The sequence below is a fragment of the Homo sapiens genome, chromosome 13 (assembly GCF_000001405.40).
Source record: "Homo sapiens chromosome 13, GRCh38.p14 Primary Assembly".
NCBI lineage: Eukaryota > Metazoa > Chordata > Mammalia > Primates > Hominidae > Homo > Homo sapiens.
In genome coordinates, this window is record NC_000013.11 from 95,928,476 (window position 1) to 95,952,213 (window position 23,738).

The window sequence follows — 23,738 nt, forward strand, 5'->3', positions numbered from 1 at the left end:
GACGGGGCAGCCGGTCAGAGACGCTCCTCACCTCTCAGACGGGGTGGTGGCGGGGCAGAGACACTCCTCAGTTCCCAGACGGGGTCGCGGCGGGGCAGAGGTGCTCTTCACAGCCCAGACGGGGCGGCGGGGCAAAGGCGCTCCCCACATCCCAGAAGGTGGGTAGCCGGGCAGAGACGCTCCTCACTTCCTAGACGGGATGACGGCCGGGAAGAGGTGTTCCTCACTTCCCAGACTGGGCGGCTGGGCAGAGGGGCTCCTCACATCCCAGATGATGTGCGGCCAGGCAGAGATGCTCCTCACTTCCTAGACGGGGTGGCGGCCGGGCAGAGGCTGCAATCTCGGCACTTTGGGAGGGCAAGGCAGGCGGCTGGGAGGTGGAGGTTGTAGTGAGCCGAGATCATGCCACTGCACTCCAGCCTGGGCAACATTGAGCACTAAGTGAGCGAGACTCCATCTGCAATCCCGGCACCTCGGGAGGCCGGGGCTGGCAGATCACTCGAGGTCAGGAGCTGGAGACCAGCCCGGCCAACACAGCGAAACCCCGTCTCCACCAAAAAATACGAAAACCAGTCAGGCGTGGCGGCGCGCGCCTGCAATCCCAGGCACTAGGCAGGCTGAGGCAGGAGAATCAGGCAGGGAGGTTGCAGTGAGCCAAGATGGAGGCAGTACAGTCCAGCCTCGGCTTGGCATCAGAGGGAGATGAGGGAGAGGGGGAGGGAGAATACATTTCCTTGTAAAAATTACAACTTTTTCCAATTAAGCAATTTTAGATGCAATTATGCCTAAGATAAATTTAATTAAATATATTTTTAAAGAATTTCAGCTTTTATTTTAGATTCGAGGGTACACATGCAGATTGGTTACAACACAGGTGTATCATGTAATGCTGAAGTTGGGGTTATGACTGATCCCATTACCCAGGTAGTTAGCATAGTACCAGATAGTTTTCCAACCCTTCCCTGACTTTTTCCTTCCCTCTCCCCTCTAGAAATCCCCAGTGTCTCTTGCTGCCATCTTTATGTCTATGAGTACCAAATGTTTAGCTCCCACTCATAAGAGAGAACATGCAGTGTTTGGTTTCCTGTTTCTGTGTTAGTTTGCTTGGCCTCCAGCTGAGTCCATGTTGCTCCAAAGGGGACGATTTCATTTTTAATGGGTGCGTAGTATTCCATGGTGTATATATGCACCACATTTTCTTTAACCAATCCACCACTGATGGACACCTAGGCTGATTCTACATCTTTGCTATTATGAATAGTGCTGCAGTGAACATACATGTGTCTTTTTGGTAGAACGATTTATTTTCCTCTGGAGATGTACCCAGTAATGGGATTGCTGGGTTGAATGGTAGTTCTGTTTTAAGTTCTTTGAAACATCTACAAACTGCTTTCCAAAGGGGCTGAACTAATTTACATCCCCACTAACAGTGTATATGCGTTCCCCTTCCTCCTCAGCCTCACCAGCATCTGTTGTTTGTTCACTTAATAACAGCCATTCTAAATGGTACGAGATGGTGTCTCCTTTTGGTTTTGATTTGCACTTCTCTAAGGATTAGTAGTGTTGAACATTTCTTTATATGCTTGTTGGCCGCCTGCGTGTCTTCTTTTGAGAAGTACCTGTTAATGTCATTTGCCTACTTTTTAATGGGGTTATTTATTCTTTGCTTGATTTATTTGCTACTTATGGATATTAGAATTTTGTCGGATATACAGTTTGTGAATATTTTCTGTATATTCTGTAGGCTGTCTGTTTACTCTGTTGCGAGTTTCTTTTGTTGTACTCTTTAATTAATTAGGTCCCACTCGTCAAATTTTTGTTTTTGATGCAATTGCTTTTGAGATCTTAGCCATAAATTCTTTCCCAAGACTGATGTCCAGAACGGTGTTTCCTAGGTTTTCTTCTAGAATTCTTATAGTTTTAAGTCTTATACTTAACTGTTTAATCCATCTTGTTAAGTTTTGAACGTGGTGAAAAGTAGGGGTCCAGTTTTGTTTGCATATGGCTAGCCAACTATCCTAGGACCATTTATTGAATCGAGGACCCTTTTCCCACTAATTTTCATCAACTTTTCAAAGCTAAAATGTTTGTAGGTGTGTGGCTTTATTTCTGGGTTCTCTACTCTGTTCCATTAGTCTATGTGTCTATTTTTGTACCAGTACCATGCTGCTCTGGTTACTGTAGCCTCATAGTGTACTGTGAAGTTGGGTAATACTGTGTCCGGAATTGGTGGGTTCTTGATCACACTGACTTCAAGAATAAAGCTGTGGACCCTCGCGGTGAGTGTTACAGTTCTTAAAGATGGAGTGTCCAGAGTTTGTTCCTTCTGATGTTCAGATGTGTTCGGGGTTTTCTCCTTCTGGTGGGTTGGTGGTCTCGCTGGCTTCAGGAGTGAAGGTGCAGACTTTTATGGTGAGTGTTACAGCTCTCAAAGGCAGCACGGACCCAAAGACTGAGCAGCAGAAAGATTTACTGCAAAGAGCAAAAGAACAAACCTCCCACAGCATGGAAAGGGACCCAAGCGGGTTGCCACGGCTGGCTTGGGCAGCCTGCTTTTATTCCCTTATCTGGCCCCACCCACATCTTGCTGATTGGTCCATTCTACAGAGAGCTGATTGGTCTGTTTTACAGAGAGCTGATTGGTCCGTTTTGACAGGGTGCTGATTGGTGTGTTTACAATCCCTGAGCTAGCCACAAAAGTTCTCCAAGTCCCCACTAGATGAGCTAGACACAGCACTGATTGGTGCATTTACAAACCTCCAGCTAGACACAGGGTACTGATTGGTGTGTTTACAAATCTTGAGCTAGACACAGAGTGCTGATTGGTGTATTCACAATCCCTCAGCTACACATAAAGGTTCTCCAAGTCCCCACTAGACTCTGGAGCCCAGGGGCTTCACCTAGTGGATCCCACACCTGGGCCGCAGGGGGAGCTGCCCGCCACTCCCGCACCTTGCACCGGCACTCCTCAGCCCTTGAGCGGTCAATGGGACTGGGCGCCGCGGAGCAGGGGGCAGCACTCGTCGGGGAGGCTCGGGCTGCGCAAGACCCCACGGTGCCGGGGCAGGGTGGGGTGGGGTGGGGGTGGGGGGGAGGCTCAGGCATGGCGGGCTGCGGGTCCCAAGCCCTGACCCAGGGGGAGGCAGATGAGGCAGCGAGAATTCGAGCACAGTGCTGGCCCAGCGCACCCTCTGTAGCTGCTGGCCCGGGTGCTACGCCCCTCACTGCCCGGGCCGGCAGCGCCCGCCGGCCTGAGTGCAGGGCCTGCTGAGCCCACGCCCACCCGGAACTCGCGCTGGCCCATGAACGTGGCGCGGAGCCCTGGTTCCCGCCCGCGCCTCTCCCTCCACACCTCCCCGCAAGCAGAGGGAGCCGGCTCCGGCCTCGGACAGCCCAGAGAGGGGCCCCCACAGTGCAGTGGCAGGCTGAAGGGCTCCTCGAGCATGGCCAGAGCGGACGCCGAGGGCAAGGAGGTGCTGAGAGTGAGCAAGGGCCACCAGCACATTGTCACCTCTCAATATGATGCCTTCAGATTTGTTCTTTTTCTTGGAATTGCCTTGGCTATTTGGGCTCTTTTCTGGTTCCATATTAATTTTAGAATAGTATTTTCCAATTCTGTGAATAATGACATTGGCAGTTTGATATGAATAGCATTAAATCTGTAGATTGTGTTGGGCAGTATGGCCATGTTAACAATATTTAGTCTTCCAATCCGTGAGCATGGAATGTTTACCCATTTGTTTGCATAATATATGATCACTTTCAGCAGTGTTTAGTAATTATCCTTGTAGAGATCTTTCATCTCCTTAGTTAGCTGTATTCCTAGGTATTTTATTTGTGTGTGTGTGTGTGTGTGTGTGTGTGTGTGTGTGTGTGTATGGCTATTGTAAATGGGACTGCATTCTTGATTTGGCTCTCAGCTTGAATGTTATTGGTCTATAGAAATGCTACTGATTGCTGTGCATTAATTTTGAATCCTGAAACTTTACTTAAGTAATTTATCAGTTCTAGGAGTTGTCCGGTGGAGTCTTTAGGGTTTTCTAGGTGTAGAATCATATCATCAGTGAAGAGAGATACTGGACTTCTTTTACTATTTGGATGCCTTTTATTTATTGCTCTTGCCTGATTGCTCTAAGACTTCCAGTACTATGATGAATAGGAATAGTGAGACTGGGCATCCTTTTCCTGTTCCAGTCCTCAAGGGGAATGTTTCCAGCTTTTCACTGTTCAGTATGATGTTGGTTGTGGGTTTGTCATAGATGGCGTTTATTATTTTGAGGTATGTTCCTTCAATGCAGTTTGTTGAGGGTTTTTATCATGAAGGGATGTTTGATTTTATTGAATAATTTTTCAGCATCTATCAAAATGATCACATTTTTTGTTTTAAATTCTGTGTATGTGGTGAATGACATTTACTGATTTGTTAATGTTGAACCAACCTTTCTCAGGAGTGAAGCCTATTTGATTACGGTGAATTAATTTTTTGATATGCTGCTGGATTCAGTTTGCTAGTATTTTGTTGAGGATTTTTCCATCTATGTTCATCAATGGTACTAGCCTGTAGTTTTTTCATTGCATGTTTGCCAGGTTTTGGTATCAGGATAACACAGGTTTTGCAGAATGAGTTAGGGAGGCATTAATCACTCCTCCTTGGTTTTTTGGAATAGTTTCAGTAGGATTGGTAACAGTTCTTCTTTATACATCTGGCAGAATTCAGTTATGAATCCATCTGGTCCAGGGCTTTTACTGGTTGGTAGGTTTTTTATTACTGATTCAATTATGGAACTCAGTATCAGTCTGCTCAGGGTGTCAATTTCTTCCTGATTCAATCTTGGGAGACCAGGAATTTATCCATATCCTCTAGATTTTCCAGTTTGTATGCATAGAGGTCTTCTGAGGATCTTCTGTATTTCTATGGGATCAGTTGTAATGTCACCTTTGTTGCTTCTGATTGTGCTTATTTAGATCGTTTCTCCTTTTTCTGTTAATCTAGCTAGTGGTCTATCGATCTTGTCCTTTCCAAGAGCTAACTTTTGGTTTCACTGATTCATTGTATAAATTTTTGGGTCTCAATTTTGTACAATTCTGCTCTGATTTTAGTTATTTCTTTTCTTCTGCTAGCTTTGAGGTTAGTTCATTCTTGTTTTTCCTAATTCCTCTTGGTGTGATGTTAAGTCATTATTTTGAGATAGTTCTAAATTTTTTTGTTTTTGTTTTTTGTTTTGAGACGAAGTCTTGCTCTGTCACCTAGGCTGGAGTGCAGTGGCTGTATCTCGGCTCACTGCAAGCTCCGCCTCCCGGGTTCATGCCATTCTCCTGCCTCAGCCCCCAGAGTAGCTGGGACTACAGGCACCAGCCACCAGGCCCAGCTAATTTTTTTTTGTACTTTTAGTAGAGATGGGGTTTCACTGTGTTAGCCAGGATGGTCTCGATCTCCTGACCTCGTGATCTGCCCACCTCGGCCTCCCAAAGTGCTGGGATTACAGGCGTGAGCCACCGCGCCTGGTGATAGTTCTAAATTTTTGAGATAGGTGGTTAGCACTATAACTCTGAAAACTGCTTTTGCTGCATGCCAGAGATCTTCGTATGTTGTTTGTTTTCATTTATTTGAATTTTTATTATTGCTGCCTTAATTTCAGTTTACCCAAAAGTGATTTCAAAAGCAAGTTATTTAATTTCCATGTAATTATGTAGTTTTGAGAGATGTTCTGAGTTCTGATTTCTATTTTTATTCTACTGTGGTCCATGAGTATGACTGGTATGATTCTGACTTTAAAAAATTTATTGAGACTTACTTTATGGCCAAGCATGTGCTTGATCTTGGAGTATGCTCTGTGTGCAGCTGAAAAGAATAAATATTCTGTGGCTGATGGGTGGAATGTTCTGTAGATGTCTATTAGGTCTAACTGATCAGTGTCCATTTAAGTCCAGAATTTGTTAGTTTTCTGCCTCGATAATCTGTCTAACACTGTCAGTGTCTAACACACGATAGAAATGGCAAGGAGCCAGCTAAGAACTTCATGACAGGCTCAAAACCTCATGTACCAATATTAACCTTGAATATAAATGGCCTACACGCCTCACTTAAAAAGCACAGAGTGGCAAGTTGGATAAAAAACAAGACTCATCTGTCTGCTGTCTTCCTCCTTCCTCAGCCTTTTGAGTAGCTGGGACTACAGGCACCCACCATGACGCCTGGCTAAGTTTTAAGTTTTTTGTGGAGAGGTTTCACTGTGTTGCCCAGGCTGGTCTCAAACTCCTCAGCTCAAGCGATCCTCTTGGATTGACCTTCCAAAGTGGTGGGATTACAGGCATGAACCACCATTTCTGGCCTAAATTCTTTTTTATTTTTGTCTGACTGGGTTAGTTCAATAACAGTGGGTGAGTTGAAGTCTCCCACTATTATTGCGCAGCTGCCTTAAGATTTTTCATAGGTGTGGAAGTATTTGTTTTACGAATCTGGGTGCTCCAGTGTTGGTGCATATATATTTGGGACACTTAAGTCTTCTTGTTGAACACTTTATAATTATCTATTGTTGGTTTCAAGTTTGTTTTATCTAAGAATAGCAACTCCTGGTTTTGTTTTGTTTTGTTTGCATGATAATTCTCAAACCCTTTACTTTGAGCCCGTCTCCTGTAGACAGCAGACAGATGGGTCTTGTTTTTTATCCAATTGCCACTCTGTGCCTTTTAAGTGAGGCACTTAGGCCATTTATATTCAAGGTTAATATTGGTACACGAGGTTTTGATCCTATGTGAAGTTCTTAGCTGTCTGCTTTTCAGTTTCTATGATGTGGATGCTTTATAGGGTCTGTGGGCTATGTACTTAAGTGTGTTTTTGTACCATTCTTCCATTCCCTTAAAGAGCTCTTGTAAGGCCCGTTTAGTGCTAATGAATTCCTTTAGTGCTTGCTTGTCTGGGAAAGATTTTACTTCTCATTCACTTATGAAGCTTAGTTTGACAGGACACAAAATTCTTGGTTGGAATTTCTTTTCTTTAGGAATGCTGAAAATAGACCACTGTTGTTAGTTTGATGGGGTTCCCTTCGTATGTGATCTGCCTTTTTTCTCTAGTTGCCTTTAAGATTTTTACTTCAGCACTGACCTTGGACAGTTTGGTGACTATAAGCCTTGGTGATGCTGACCTTGTATAGTATCTCACAGTGTTCTCTGAATTTCTTGTAACTGAACGTCTACTTCACTAGCAAGATGAGGGAAATTTTCTTGAATTATTCCCTCAAATATGTTTTCCTGGTTGTTTACTTTTTCTCCTTTTCTCTCAGGAATGCCAATAATTTGTAGGTTTGGTTCCTTTAACATAATCCCGTATTTCTTGAACACTTTGTTCATTTTTAAAAATTCTTCTTTTCAGACAGGGTCTCGCTCTGTCATCCAGGCTAGAGTGCAGTGGCATGATCATGACTTACTGCAGCCTCCATCTCCTAGGCTCAAGTGATCCTCTTGCCTCAGCCTTTCGAGCAGCTGGGACTAGAGGCACTCATCACCACACCTGGCTAAGTTTTAAGTTTTTTTGTAGAGCAGAGGTCTCACTGTGTTGCCCAGGCTGGTCTCAAACTCATCAGCTCAAGTGATCCTCTTGAATTGACCTCCCAAAGAGGTGGGATTACAGGTATAAACCACCATGCCTGACCTAAATTCTTTTTTGTTATTTTTGTCTGACTGGGTTAGGTCAAAAGACTGGTTTTCAAGCTCTGAAATTCTTTCTCCTGCTTGGTCCAGTCTATTGATAAAGCTTTCAATTATATTTTGAAATTCCTTAAGTGATGCTTCTATAGCCTATGCATTTCTATCAGCTGATTTTACTTTGGGCTGTGTGGTTTGACCTACAAGCTAGTAGATAGCCCTTATGAGTAAAAGCCAGCTGAGGCCAACATGGCAGGGTATATACTTGATCCTTGTTACTGGGATAATCTCTCTGTTGTCTCAGGCAATGGGCTGATCTGTGGTGTGCACAGTGGTCTGGCCTCCCTGCTCAGACATGGTGGGCAAGATGGGCAGGGCCAGGCTGAGCAGGCCTGCCTACAGGTACCCCAACGGCAGGCACAAGCACCAACACTGAGGGAGAATACAGTGGGCAACCACCAGGTGTCTAGAGGTGTGCCTAGGCATGGAGCTGGGAAACCTCCTTGGCTCCAAGTTCTCTGCAGAGGGAGCGGGGTAGCCTAAACTCCTAATCGAGGACAGTGGGTGTTCCAGATTCCTGAAGATCTGCCTGGGCATGGAGTATAAAGGGCCCCACTGCACCACAGTCTCTGCACAGGCAGGGTGGCGTGGCTTAAGCTGCTAAAAGTATCATTTTAAAAATCACTATGAAATGATCAGAATGGAAATTTTTTACCAAATCAACTTCTGTCATTAAAATAAGTTTTTAATAAAAACATCATTTATAAATATTCATCATGTATTTTCTTATAAATGCTTACCTACCAAAAAAACTTCTCTTTGTAAATATACAGATGCATCCATCATTCTTTGAAGAACAGCCATTTTTAGTTCTTTAATATTCATCTCTTCATGTTTAAAGGGTTCACCATTATAAAGAGCTTGAGGCAAAGGACCCAGGCCAGTCATCTTATAAAAGCTTGCTCCAGCCTATTCAGTTAAAAAATATCAGAGTGTTAAACAAAATATGATTGTTTGAATAATAAACATAAGAAAATGGAACACCGCCACATTTTTATATGCCATAGGAAAAAACATCCATTTTGCTAACTTTATCTGTCCTTTCCAAACATTGCCTAAAGGAAAGTAATTTACCTACAAGGAGTCAAAAAACTTTTTATGTAAAGGGCCAGAGAGTAAATATTTTAGGCTTTGTGAGCCACTCAGTTTCTGACATAGTGACTCCACTCTCGTTACAGCACAAAAGCAGTCATAGACGACATATGAATAAACAAGTATGGCTGTGTCCCCAAAATATTTACAAAAACAAGCAGTGGGTGGACTTGCTGATTCTTGGTATAGAGTATGACATTAACTTAATAAACATCCAAACATTTATCGGCATCAGAGACTTATTTATCCCTGTATTTATATGTTCAATAAACACTTATTCAATCCTGCCACCTGCATTAGGCTAGATACTGTGATTATAGAGCTGAAAGTCTTTTCTCAAGGGGTTCACATACAGACAGACAAAACACAGGCATGTAGAAGACTCTATGGGGCCCAGGAGAAGCACCTAATCAAGCTGGAGTATGGAGAGGAAGGGATCATACAGGTCTTCTTTTAGGGAGTCATACTAAAAATCTTAAAGGCTTAATAAAAATTTGCCAGAGAGATAAAATAGAGAAAGACAGTCCAAGTGAGGAGAATATAGCAAGGGAAGTAAGAGTGTGGTATACTTATGCAATGGTAAATTCACAGTTGATATGGTTTGGCTGTGTCCCCACCCAATTCTTATCTTAAATTTTAGCTCCCACATTTCCCACATGTTGTGGGGGGACCCAGTGGGAGGTAATGAAATCATGAGGGCAGATCTTTCCCATGCTATTCTCGTGACAGTGAATATGTCTCATGAGATCTGCTGGTTTTATAAGGGGGAATTTCCCTGCACAAGTTCTCTTCTCTTGTCTGCCATCATGTGAGACATGCCTTTCACCTTCTGCCATGATTGTGAGGTTTCCCCAGCCACGTGGAACTGTAAGTCCATTAAACCACTTTCTTTTCTAAATTGCCCAGTCTCAGGTATGTCTTTATCAGCAGCGTGAAAATGGACTAATACAGCAGTGTTTACAGGGTGTGAAATATGGGGGACAGCTGTCAGATACGGAGTTAGAGAGGGGTGTAGGCAGAGGCCAGATCATGAAGGTCCTCAACATTTGAATTTTAGCTTATGAGTTAAAAAGTGACTAAATAACTCATTTGCTATCCAATACTAAGTATTATCATTATTATAGCCAACATTCTCACAAATACTCTAGGAAGCCAAGTACTACTATTACATCAATTTTACAGATGATAAAACAGATACAGAGAGATTAAATCACTTCTTATGTTACACAGCTACAATGTTTTGGAAATGGAATTTGCACCCAGATCTGTCTGACCAAGAGTCTGAACTCTTAACCACTGTACTATACTATCTGTACGTTTAGTGGGCACCTACTATGTCTTAGGTTTATGAATGCATGTAAATGATATGCAAACTCTCTCCTAAAGCTTATAGTTTAACAAGGATAAACTCCTCCACTCCTTTCCTTCTTGGCAATGGCATCAACACTACCAGTTAGTTGTTCAGCTGAACCCTGGGAGTTACCCTTGACAATTTCTCATCTCCCCTCTACCTTATCCAATCCAGCAGCACCTGGATGGTACTTCCTAAATAATTCAAATATGTCCATTTTCTCTGCCTCCACTTCTTCCAAAAGCCTACTAGTCCATCTCACATCTCTCACCTTATGTTTCCTAATACATATCACCACACCTACTCCTCCCCACCAACAATCCATTCTCAACAATGGAGAATGCTCTTTAGAAAAAAAATGCATGTCACTGTCACTTCACTACTTAATGCCTTTCAGGTTTTTCACTGTTGCCAAGAGCTTCTACTGACATGAGTGCATTAAATGTTGTTCACAAGACCCTGTATATTCAGACCCCTTGCTTGCCTCTCCAGCCTTATCTCCTCGACTGTACCCTATAACACAGGAACAACATATGCTTTCAATCTACACAGTAGCAACATCAGCTTCTCTCAATTCCTTTACATCTCAGAACACAATATTTTTCTGACTGGAATGTTAATCTCTTACAACCCCCTTGTTTTCTTTTGTCTAACTTTTCCTCCTGCTTCAGGATTCTGCTTAAATATCACTTCTTCAGAAAAGTATTCCTTATCCCCATACCCCAGAGCATTCCTCTTTCATTCAATGTGTTGCGTATTTGGTGAGTCCCTTCTAATGAAGGCTCCTATACATTAATTTTTGGAATTTCTTTGTACTATTTCTCTTTCTCTGAAAATTTCTTTGAGTTGTTGCCTTTTTTTTTTTTTTTTTTGGCTCTTTCCGAATCTTCTGGGTTGAGTCTCTAATTGTTCACCTTTTAAAAAATGACAAGTAAAAAATATATATGTTTATGATATATGACATTTTGATATTAATATACATTGTGGAATAGCTAATAAAGCTAATTATCATATGCATTACCTCATATACTTCTCATATTTTGTGGTGAGAATCCTTAAAATGTACTTAGTAATTTCAAGTATAAAATATGTCATTAACTACAGTCACCACCATGTACAATAGATCTCTTGAACTTATTTCTCTAGTCTAACTGAAATTTTGTATCCTTTGACCAATATCTCCCCAATTCTGCCATCCCCAGCCTCTGGTAACCCCCATTTTACTCTGTTTCTGTGAGTCTGACTTTTTTTAAAGATTCTACATGAGTAGAGATCATGTGGTGTTTGTCTTTCTGTGCCTGGCCTACTCCACTTAACATAATGTCCCAACTTACCTTTCTTTCTTCATCATATTTAGAATGAATTCCCAAAATATCCCAAATATTAGCATGAGGAAATGTATTTTGGAGAACACTCTTCACATTGTCCACAGTGAGTATATTTTGATCCTTCTTCACTTTTTGGTACATCTGTGAAAATTTAGATATTATAATTAATTTTCTTCTTATAGCAATTAGTTTTCTTTTTTTTCCTTAGCATGCAGATAGATTTTTATTTTGTAAGTTCAAAATATACTAACTACACATACACACATACCACATAAAAATAATTTTAACCATATATCATCTTTTAATAAAGATGGTTTTAAAATATTCTATAGTTTTCAAAAATATCATAACAAATTTATGTTTTACTCTATTTTGATGAAACCAGACACCATTATTCTTAATAAAATAATGATTACCTTTTTTAATGTATGTATAATATATTCTAATATGACATTTCAGAAATGCTTTCATTTTTTATTGCTTTTCTGTAATTTTTTTCTTTTTCTTTTTTTTTTTTTTTTTTGAGACAGGGTCTTACCATTGACTAGGCTGGAATGCAGTGGTGTGATCATGGCTCACTGCAGCTTCAACCTCCCAGCTCAAGCAATCCTCCCACCTAGCCCCCTGGGTAGCTGGGACTACAGGAACTTGCCACCACACCTGGCTAGATTTTTTGGTATTTTTTGTAAAGATGGGGTCTTGCCATGTTGCTTAGGCTGGTATCGAATTCCTGGGCTCAAGCAATCCACCTCCTGCGGCCTCCCGAAGGGCTTGGCTTACAGGAACTTGCCACCACATCTGGATAAATTTTTTTGTATTTTTTGTAAAGACAGGGTCTTGCCATGTTGCTCAGGCTGGTCTCAAACACCTGGGCTCAAGCAATCTACCTGCCTCGGCCTCCCAAATAGTTGAGACTACAGGCATAAGCCACCATGCCAGGCCTTACTAGTAAGTATTTTGACTAAACTTTCTCTGCACCTCTACTCTTCCCCAGTCTCAAATATTCTAAACACACTTGTAGAATGTAAGCTGTTATTCTTTTTATCTTTTCTCATTTCTTTCTTTAATAAGTACTTAGAGATCCTCTATGACCCAGGTGCTGTTTTAGGTTTTGCACCAAGAGAGATGGCATCTCTTGAGTAGACGACTAAGCTGAGACATAAGTATGAACACTCAGCTAGCATTAAGACATTCTGGGGAAAGAAACTTATAAGCAGAAGGAACAAGTAGTAAGTACAAACACTATTAAGCAGCATTTGATATATCACTGAAGAATATTGCTTTTGGTCCCAATTTACTTATGTCATTATTGCCAAACATAATCTTCATATTGTGGCTAAAATGATCCCCATGTTATATTCCTCACAGTAAGAAATTAGTATTCTTTGCTCTCCCTTTATCACTGTAAACTTTGTACCCTATTCCTTTAAGCAGCAGCACAGGTATGTAATTAGACTGAAGAGTTTCATTTTACGAGTTTTTCAATTTAGGGGCAACTTTTCTCCTCCTATCAAAGTAGAACATAATGTGATCATAACTCAAAAAAAGTGAAAAGTTCCATCTTTTGTAAAACATAAATGGAGATCACAAAAATGAGACTCTGAATAAAGCAAAAGATAAAGGAAAAGTCATTCAGATTAGTCATTTTACTAACTAGTCACCTGAAAATATTAGATACTCATAAAATAAGGTAGTCAGAATGCCTCACATAAGTTACTCAGACATATCAACTCAATCCTCTTACACATTTTTAAATTTTAAAAATTATTTTGTAACTTGGTAAGCAAAGAGGAATACACATAACATACACATTATGAGGCATAAATAACAAAATAAACAATTCTTATGAATAAACCACGTAACATAAGAAATGGAACATCACCAATGCCATGAAGTACAACTTCTCTCCCAATCCCATTTCCTTGTGCTTCAGGAGATGCAAGCATTGTTTTGAATTTGCATTTATCATTCCCTTTCCTTTTTGAATTCTAGAGTTTTATGCGAATACGTATTCCCATACTTAGTTTTGTTTGCTTCTGAGCTTTAAGAAGTATATGGTATGGTGTTAGTCTTCTATGACTTCATTATGTTTCTAATACATCTATGCTCTTGCATATGATATTTCATTCTAATATGCCAAATTCTACTTATCTATTTTGCTACTGATATGTATATTTGTGTCATTTTTATCATAGTTTGTTGCTATTCTGAATGATTCTGCTAACAATAGCCTCCTAAGGTGCAGGTACAAGAGCTTCTCTTAGGGTGAGGGTGTGTGTGTGTGTGTGTGTGTGTGTGTGTGTGTGTGTGTGTGTGTGTGTGTTGTCTGTAGGAAATGTGGAAATTTAACTTCAAATAGTGAATTATTATCAGATTGTTTTTCAGTGTGGCTCTGCCAGTTTAGATTCCTACAGGCAGGGTAGCAATGTAAATGTAAAGGCATTCCATTGCTCTACATTCTCATTAACAAATGATACCTTCAGCTTTCTTAATTCCTGCCAAATTACAGGGTATAAAATAATCTTGTGGTCGTAGTCTTTATTTGCATTTTTCAAATTTGTAAGATAATTATCTTGTTTAGTTACCATTAATGGTAATAAATATTTACCACCAATAATTTCAGTATATTTTTATTTACCATTAATGCATCTTCTATTTTAAAAGTTATTTTATGCATTTCTCCTCTTGGGTCATTGGTATTTTTCTTTTTGAATTGTAGAAAATGTTTACATCTCATGGAATATAAATATTTTATTGGCCATATGTATTGTAAATACTTCTCCTGCTTATAACATTTTTCCCTATTTTTTAATGACATATTTTAATGGGCACTGGTTTTCATTTGTAATTTAGCTGAAATTATCAGTATTTTCCTGCAGACTTAGAGCTTTTTAAGTTTTATCTAGGAAACCCTTACCTTGAGGTCCTAACTTCTAAATGTTTTAAAGTTTTGTTTTCCACACTTACATTTTTAAGCTAACTCAAATGATTTTTACACAAGGTGTAAAGTCTTATTTACTTGCATTGGTATAGCCACTGTTGAACCACAGTTGTTGTAAGTCCACTCCCATTTACTGTAATGTCACTTCTGTATTCTTAAGTTTTGGGACCCCCACGTTCTTTTGATAGATATGTCTTTCCCTGAACCAATACCACAAACTTTATACATCTTATTACCTGGTATGACAAGTCCCATCACTTTATCCTTCAAAGTCTCACCCATTTTGAGTCTTCATTCTTCCATATAAATTTTAAAATAAAACATCACATTTCACAAAAATCCCCAAAATTCCACTTTGGTCGGAAATGCAATGAATTTAGAAATCACTTGCAGAAAACAATATAATTATGAAGTGAAATATTTCTATTGATAAACATGGTAGAGCTTTTCATTCATTTAGGTAAACTTTCATGGCTATAATTCCAAATTTTCTCCACAAAACTGACCTTCCCCCCAGCCCCCAGGTTTCCTAAGTATCTTTTATTTGCTTGCTCTTGTCATTGTAAATGTAGGAGTCATTACAGAAAGTACTCTCATGAGGATAAGGATTGTTGGCTATATATGTTATTAATTTATCCAAGCACCTAAAACAGGGTGTGGTATGTAGTAGGCATTTAATAAAACTGATGAAAATAATTAATAAATATTTGTTGTTAGAAGAGAGAAAAGCAACTGATATTAGTATACTGATCTCATATCCAGTTACTTTACTAACCTCCTGTGTCAAATCTCACAATCAATGGATTCTTTTGAGTCTCCTCTGTAGGCAAGTCTGGAATTTTAAATAAAAATTTGTTTCTTTTAAATATTTTAAATGAGTATTTCCTTTACTTATCTTATTGCATTGACTGGAACTTGAGGATTATACTTGAAGTGTTGACAGTGGGTACCTTATCTTTTTCCATTTTTAAAAACAATGCTTTCTATCATTTTACTGCTAAGATGTGCTGTCATCAATTAACAAAATTCCCTTACATAATAGTTCGCTAAACATTTTGTTTCTTTATGAGTTTTTTAATCATAAAAAAGCTTTGAATTTTTTCAAATGTTTCTTGTGCATATTCTTGAATAATATATTAACATGGTGAATTATATTTAGAGATTCTTTGAATTTGCAAATACTTTCTTTTATTCATTAGATAATCTCACCTTGTCATGATAATTTACTTTTTATATACCTGCTGGATTTCTTTTGTTAATATTTTATTTAGGACTTTGGCATACATATTCTCAACAAAGAACAGCCTATAATTTTTCCTTTTCTCTTCTTGTCAGGCTTTGACATCAGATTATATTAGATTCATAGACTAATTTAGGTAATATTTCCTCTTTTTCTATTCTCTAAAAGATATTTTAAAGACTGAAATTATTATTTCTTCAAACATTTGAATATTTGGTAGAATTTGCTGTGCTAGTTTTAAAACATGGTCTCCAAATTCTTCAACACTCCTTCCATTGAGAAGTGGGTATATGAATCTGAATCTGTGACTCTTTGATAAACAGAATACAACGGAATAAACTGAAAGTAATGATGTACCCATCTCTGAGCCCAGGCCTTAAGAGTCTGGAAGTTTATACCTGGTGTGCTCATCTGGAACCTAACCTCTATGATAGTTTGTCAATTTTATTTGTTTTTTCAGAATATCAACTTTTATATTCTTGATCCCATAATTGTATTATTTCCTAGTTCATTAATGTATATTCTTATTACTTTCCATCTACTTTTTAAAAATCAGTTACTCATTTCTGAATGGTTAACTAGTTCTTTTAACTCCTTTTCTAACTAAAAGACATATTTTCCTCTTCTGTTTTGAATGCAAAATCATCTCATTCTCTGATTGTTGGATATTATATTTGCCTTTAAAATTAATCTTAAGTGTATTGTTAAAATCTTATATATTTTTACTGATTTTTAATCTGCTTCACCTATTAAAAAATGTTGAAATAACCTACTACTATTATAGTGAAACTGTCCATTTATCTCCCTTGCTATCAAATTTTGTATTGTATATTTTGAAGCTACATACAACTTTAGTACTTTTTCTTAAAGTTTATTTCCCCTAATATTTTATGGCTACCTTAGATTTCATTTGTGATAGTCACCTTGTGTATAACTTTCTGTCTTTTTATATCTTTTCTGCTAGTATGCTAAAGTTTAATTTCCTCACACTTAATATGGTCACAGATATGGTTGGATTAACTTTAATATTTGCTATTTGTTATCACATTTCAATAACTTCCATATATTTTATTATTATTTTGGTCTTATATTCTTCTCTCTTTATAGTGCTAAATAGCTTCAAATTACTTAATTGAGATAAGGTAATTAGCTCACTGAAAACAGGCAAACACTTTTAAAAGATTTTATAATTCATGTATTTTCCTAAAAACTATGCCTTGTTCAAATTATTTCTCCTTCTCCCTCTCCTTCTAATTGTTTAGCACAACTTGCAGGCTGTGCCACAAATTTAATACTTACTTTTATGCTGCTTTGTATTAAACCCTGTGGTTTCAAGTATAATTTGTTTTTCCAGGAGATTATATATTAACAGTATTGTGCTGAACACTGTAGATTAATGCCATCACATGTAAATTAATGTCTGATAAAAAACACTTACAAAACAGAGATTCAATATTGATAATTAAGATAACTTAGGTAAAGATAATTTCTGAATATCTTCAGGTTTCTAAGTTTTGAATATCATAATGATCCTTTACAATAAAATGGCTGAATCTTGAATCTTAATAAAAGATGTAACTCAAATTGACTATGTCCCTTATAAACTCTTACACCAGTAAGTTAGTAAAACAAATAAGCTGAGACATAATATTGATGCATATTCCATGGCACTATTTTATAGAGCAAACTGTACCCCTGCCAAATCACTGAAGTGTAGTTTCTATACTCTAGCTCAGTGAATTAATAAGGTATTTAATGATTTTCCTGGGAGTTACAGAAGTAGGGTAGGAAATTTGCACTACTTTGGAAATTCCTTTCTCAGTTGGAAGAAGAGTCATTCCTTGATATAATATTGATTGACAAGCTAAAGCCCAATGAATATAAAAATGAAAAAAAACTTCTATTTTATAAGCTATGACTTATTTTATAAGTTATTTTATAAGCTATGACTTGACTTTTCTTAATAACAACAATATAGCTCTTTAATACATATATATTTCCACAATGATCCATAACAGAATTTCAAAACCTCAATTACGAAATAATCTTACTATCTCTTGTTCTTCCTTAATCAGGTTCTTACCAATTTCTATCATCTGTTATATGATCTCTTTGTCAGATTCTGTATCAACCTTACCTCTTTCACACAGTTTGCTGTCAATAAATGACTTCCCCCTTCTTTGAAAGTCTCTAGGAAGTGTTTATATGCTATGTCATTCAGAATATTTAACTCTGCAATGATTTTTTGTTTTTCCATGAGACAGGCTCTCTCCATTGCCTGGGCTGGAGTGCAGTGGCTCGATCTTGGCTCATTGCAGCCTCAACCTTCTGGGCCCAAATGATCCTCCCACATCAGTCTCCTGAGTAACTATGACTACAGGCATGTGCCGCTGCACCTGGAATTTTTTATTTTTTTTTTGGTAGAGACAGGGTCTCACTGTGTTGCCTATGCTGGTCTCGAGCTGCTGGTCTCAAGCGATCCTCCTGCCTTGGCCTCCTAAAATGCTGGGATTATAGGCATGAGCCACTGTGCCCAGCCTGCAATGATCTCTTTAATCAAAGCCTAGTTCAAGAATTTTTTCTTAAATAATCATTTTCTATTAATATGTTTTCCTCTAAAGTTACATATAAAATTTAAATTACTTTATTGGCTGAGTAAACCTTAGTAAATTCAAATATCTTGGTAGAACCTCAGTTGCCTAATTTATAATGTGAGGATAATATGTACTTCAGAAGGGAGTTACAGAAAACAAATTCATCATCTGTATTAATCTCCATGACAGTTTATAAACTTTGAAATGTTACAATAAATGTAATGCAAAAATTATACATTCTAAAGAAATCATAATATAGTAATGCAAGAATTTTACCTTCTAAACAAATCACATTTAGTGCATAAACTCACGTGTACTATAGAAATAAATGCTTCTGATATATCAAATTCTTCTGCAATATAGTTGAAAGCTCGCCAGAGAGCAACTCCAGCATCATTTGCTCCATCAACTTCATCATCTGTATTAAGAATGAACACAAAACCAATTCTGGAAAAAGAAGATGAACAAGGACTGTTATAATTACCTCTTGAATCACAATAAACCATTATTTAGAAACGTTATTAGACTACAATATCTAGATGGAGAGAATGTATTAATAGACAGAGAAAAGGAGAATTTTATCACTTCAAAAGTTTGAATGTAATGCCTATTCACCAAAATCCACATAGCTACTGGATTCCTATAAAATATCACTCTCTCTCCCTCTAGTGCTAACATTATCAAATGGCCATGTTCTTTTGTACAAAAAGGGTAAATATACTCTTTTTATTTTTATTTTTTTTGAGACAAGAGTCTCGCTCTGTCACCCAGGCTGGAGTGCAGTGGCACAATCCAGGCTCACTGAAACCTCCGCCTCCCAGGTTCAAGTGATTCTCCTGCCTCAGCCTCCAGGTAGCTGGGACTATAGGTGCGCACCACCACGCCTTGCTAATTTTTGAATTTTTAGTAGAGACGGGGTTTCATCATATTGGCCAGGCTGGTCTTGAACCCCTGACCTCGTGATCTGCCTGATTCGGCCTCCCAAATCCCAAAGTGCTGGGATTACAAGCATATGAAGCTGGACCTTTCTATAAGTTTCCAGAGTGATCAGATTATTCTCTCAGAAAGGTAATAAACAACATTACCAGACAGATTTGATAAACAGAGTCTAACATAAAGGTATATAATACTTCACAACGTGCAGCTGTGTTATGTCAGGCACTAGAGCTAACCATCGCTTTGAATGCCCTATTAATACTCTGTGTAACACAATATGAATAACATTGAATTTCCTTTAGTTGACAGTTTAATGCTATAAAATGACAATTACCTAAGAGGAACTTCGTGAGAATAGAAAACATCAGCAAGTTTTATAAAATCCAAGGTATATTCTTGGGCCGGATCAATAAACAGAACCTAAAAGAAAGATAGTATATATCACTATTTCAACACCTTAGAATCTTCATGAAATTCAAGTTTAGACTAATTTTTGTGACTGAAAGTATGAAATTCAATGTGTAATTTTTAAAGAAATTCTAGCAATTCTAAGGAATACACACACACACACACACACACACACACACACACATATAAAGGATTTCACAATTTATGAAGGATTTCTAAAAGCTGCACATCCAAACATAATTATACATGGAATTTAACATCAGGCTACTCATCTTCTTTTTGGAAGCCCAGTATATTTTATTTTGCCTGAATTGAAATACCTTATTCTAAATGTTCATTAGATTTTCTATGATAAATTTTTTCAAAAGGAAATAGAGATTGAATTTTGACCAAAAAAAAATAGCATTAACATAACTGCTTTATCAAGACTGCTGCAAAAAATATCTTATTCATTTCCTATGTGAAAAAACAGCCGTAGGTATTTTCTCCAACTTTCAAAGTTCCAATATTAATGTTTAGATATTATTGGGCTAATAAAATTATATGCATAGATGATAAAGTGGTATTTATGTATCTTTCCCTAAAATTACTACACTTTAATCATTAGTTCTTTTTAATAAAGAAGAAAAAGTTCTGTCATAAATTCTTTTGAAAAAATGTAAAAGTAACATTAATATGGTTATTATAAAATGACATAAGGGCTAAAGAGTAAGAGGCAGAACATGTGACTAATATGGTTTGGCTGTGTGCCCACTCAAATCTCATCTTCAATTGTAGTTCTCATAATCCCCATGTGCCGTAGGAGGGACCCAGTAGGAGGTAATTAAATCATGGAGGCAGTTGCCTCTATGCTATTCTTGTGATAGTGACTTCTCAGGACATCTGATGGTTTTATAAGGGGCTTTCCCCTTTTGCTCATACTTCTCCTTCCTGCCACTATGTGAAGAAGCACGTTTGCTTCCCCTTCTGCCATGACTGTAAGTTTCCTGAGGCCTCCCCAGCCATGCTGGGGAGTCAATTATACCTCTTTCCTTTATAAATTACCCAGTCTCAGGTATGTCTTTATTAGCAGCATGAGAACGGACTAATACAGTGACATGGCTAGTTGTTGATACCCAGTCAGCCATGCCACCTAAGCTTGCTGCTTCAGGCAAATACTTAACTTCCTTACAACTCAGATGCCTATTCATTGACAGAAGGATAATCCAGAAAGAATGCTGATATCTTTATAAGATATATATGTATAATCAAAATATAAAACTCACCAAATTATGAAAATTGCGCCTTATGGAAGGTACACTTCCAGGAAATACTGGCTTCAGAAGTTTCTGGCAACTTGTAGGCCATGTAATATACAAATCATCATTTTCTAAGTCATTAATCCACTAGAAAAGAACGCAGACACTTGTGAAAGCTATATTAACACTGAAATCATTTTCAAAGCCAGATTTTTACTATATCGTGATAAATAAAAATATACATAGAATTTTCTATATTTCTGATTAAATAGAGGAGCTAGTTTAATATTCTCTAAATTAAGGAATACATTATGTGCAACAATTTTATACTTGTGTAGCCTTTTACATTAAGCCTTCTCTCAAAAACAATTCCTTTCACTTGTGTTTGTTTTTCATATCCCAACGTAAAATTGTATGAAAATTACTCTCCATAAACCACTTAAGAGAGATGAATATTTATTTTAATTATCAGCAGTAAATGAAGCCCTCTCCACCTCCCCTCTCAATTTAAAGGCTTGGATATAAGGAAAATAAAATGGCTTATAAAAATTAAATTATAAAATCAACATCTTAGAAATCAAGTTCTAATCCACTATACAAGCTGGAGAAAACATATAAACTGCTGTTTAGAGGCATGTGGTCGGGGAAGCAACCACCAATCAAGAAGTGAGGCATTATGGTCCTTGAAAGCAGGAGGCATAAGCAGCAAGCTCCACATTCACCTAAACTTCATCCCTGGGTCCCCAGATTGCGTCCTGGAGAAATACTGAGTTGGAAAGCAGAAGTCAAAGTACGGGCTGCCAAAGTGCTGAGATTTGAGGGCAGGATGCAGGGTGAGAGGGTAGGAGAGAAGGAAACTGCAGGAAACCAGAAAAATCTCCATACAAATTCCTCTCAAGTCATTTGCTGACTCCTATCCTGCACATATACATGGTAACACCTCTACAAAAGCCAGAAGGAAAGAGAAACGGAGAGGTTGAAACCACAGCTATAAAATAGTACTGAGAAGACAGAGACCAAAGTCCAAGTACTATATAGTACTATATACACTGTAGACTTTCATTTGAGACCCAGTAAGGCCAGATCCTAGAAGTAAGACACAAAAATAGTAGAGCCTTCACAAAGCCTAAAAACAAGCTTCAACAGAAGCAAGTGAGCATCTGGCACTGAGGATACCAGAACAAACCTTAGCTCTTTGCTTCTACAGCTTTTCATCAATTTCTGGCTCTCACAAAAAAAAAAAAAAGTCATGCAAAGAGAAAAGGACCAAATATTGAAATGAAACAGGAAAAAAAAAAAAGACAATAAAAAACCCCAAAGATTACTTAGACAAGGACTTTAAAATAACTATCAATATATTTTTTAAAAAGTACAAAAATTTCTAAAAAGAAAAATTTTGACAGAACTAAAATCTGTTTAAAAAGAATCAAAGAGATATTTAAGGTTTTTAAAATATAATATTTATAATTAAGAACTCTAAGAACTTATTGGGTGGGTTTAATTGCAGACTGTACGCAGAAGAGACAGGGATTAGTAAACGTGACAACAGATCAACTGTTATAGTAACTAAACTACAAAGAAAAGAATAAACAAACCAAACAAAGTGTGAGAGAGATTAGGAATATATGAAAAAGATCTAGCATATAGGTAACTAAAAATCCAAGAGGAAAGGAGAGAAAGTCTGGAGCAAATAATACTTGAAGAAATTAGGTTTCTACAGTAATTCAGATAATCCAGGTATGAGTTTATTGTGGACTGAACTAAGTCAGAGGCAGTGGCTTCAGAGAAAAGGTGACAGAATTAAGAGACACACACAGATGGATGAATAAAACAGAGGAATTTAGGGTATATGTTCCAATAGCTAAAAGAAACGATGTCTAAATAAAGGAAGGCATGAAGACAAATCAATAAACAGATAAAAATTACAAAAAGAACCAAATAAAAATTTTGGAATTCAAAAGTATAATAATTGAAATAAAAAATTAATGAGAGGAGCTCAACAGCATATTTGAGCAGTTAGAAGAAAGAATTAATGAATTTGAAGGTAAGTCAATGAGCTTACTCAGTCTGAGGAAGAAAAGAGAAAGGAAGATATAGGTGCAGAGGAGTCTAGCCCCAAAGGGGAAACAGGCCTTATCTTGACCCAAAGGCAGCTGAGGGTGAGAATTTGGCAGCTCTTTGGAAAGGGCAATCAGAACTCCCATTCCCAATGGAGCTCAGAATCATACAGAGCCTTCAAGCAGTGCCACTTTTCCTGACTAAAAGCAAGTGTGCCTAGACAGACAAAATGAGACTCTCAACTACAGTGCAACTAAACTTGTGGTCTGAAGACTGTTAATAACCTATAAGTACAGAAATTAAGTGTTCAACAACTTGCAGTAATTTGACATGGCCATGACATTTGAGCATGTATCAGTCTCATTTCACTGAACATGGTATAAGCCAGCTTGGGGTTCATCAAACTCCTGTGGTGTGCCACATGTAGTACAAAATACATATTACAGCACTTTGGGAGCCTGAGGTGGGTGGATCATGAGGTCAGGAGTTCGAGACCAGCTTGGCCAACATAGTGAAACCCCATCTCTACTAAAAATACAAAAATTAGCCAGGCATGGTGATACACGCCTGTAGTGCCAACTACTCAGGAGGCTGAGGCAGGAGAATCGCTTGAACCCAGGAGGCAGAGGTTGTGGTAAGCTGAGATTGCACCACTGCACTCCAGCCTGGGCAATAGAGCGAGACTGTCTCAAAAAAAAAAAGATACATATTAGTCATAGGAGTAGGACAACATATTGATTGGCAACAGGTTAAGGAAAAAATGTTATTCTCTTACTATGGATAGTTTAAGAAGTAGTGCTCTAGCACTTGATGAGGGCTATCTCTGAAAAACCACAGGAAAAAAAAAA

At 38.1% G+C, this 23,738-nt stretch overlaps 1 protein-coding gene across 16 annotated transcripts in view; it reads right to left on the minus strand.

Annotated features, from left to right (window-relative positions):
- The window catches only part of UGGT2 (UDP-glucose glycoprotein glucosyltransferase 2), a 251,822-nt gene that overhangs the window by 126,896 nt on the left and 101,188 nt on the right, over positions 1 to 23,738 (minus strand). For 13 of the 16 annotated variants that reach the window (XR_931617.2, XM_047430471.1, NM_020121.4 and 10 more), the window contains 5 exons: positions 20,860 to 20,979; positions 19,521 to 19,606; positions 18,562 to 18,697; positions 11,482 to 11,616; positions 8,449 to 8,613 (listed from right to left, as the gene is read on the minus strand). Coding sequence is in view for 14 of the 16 variants with exons in the window: in XM_047430471.1 (XP_047286427.1) it covers positions 8,449 to 8,613; positions 11,482 to 11,616; positions 18,562 to 18,697; positions 19,521 to 19,606; positions 20,860 to 20,979 (642 nt within the window). In the remaining 2 variants the exon portion in view is untranslated. Of the gene's footprint in view, positions 1 to 8,444; positions 8,614 to 11,481; positions 11,617 to 15,191; positions 15,249 to 18,561; positions 18,698 to 19,520; positions 19,607 to 20,859; positions 20,980 to 23,738 lie in introns of those variants that run through there. The other 3 variants (XM_047430475.1, XM_011521102.3, XM_011521103.3) reach the window with 2 other exon arrangements.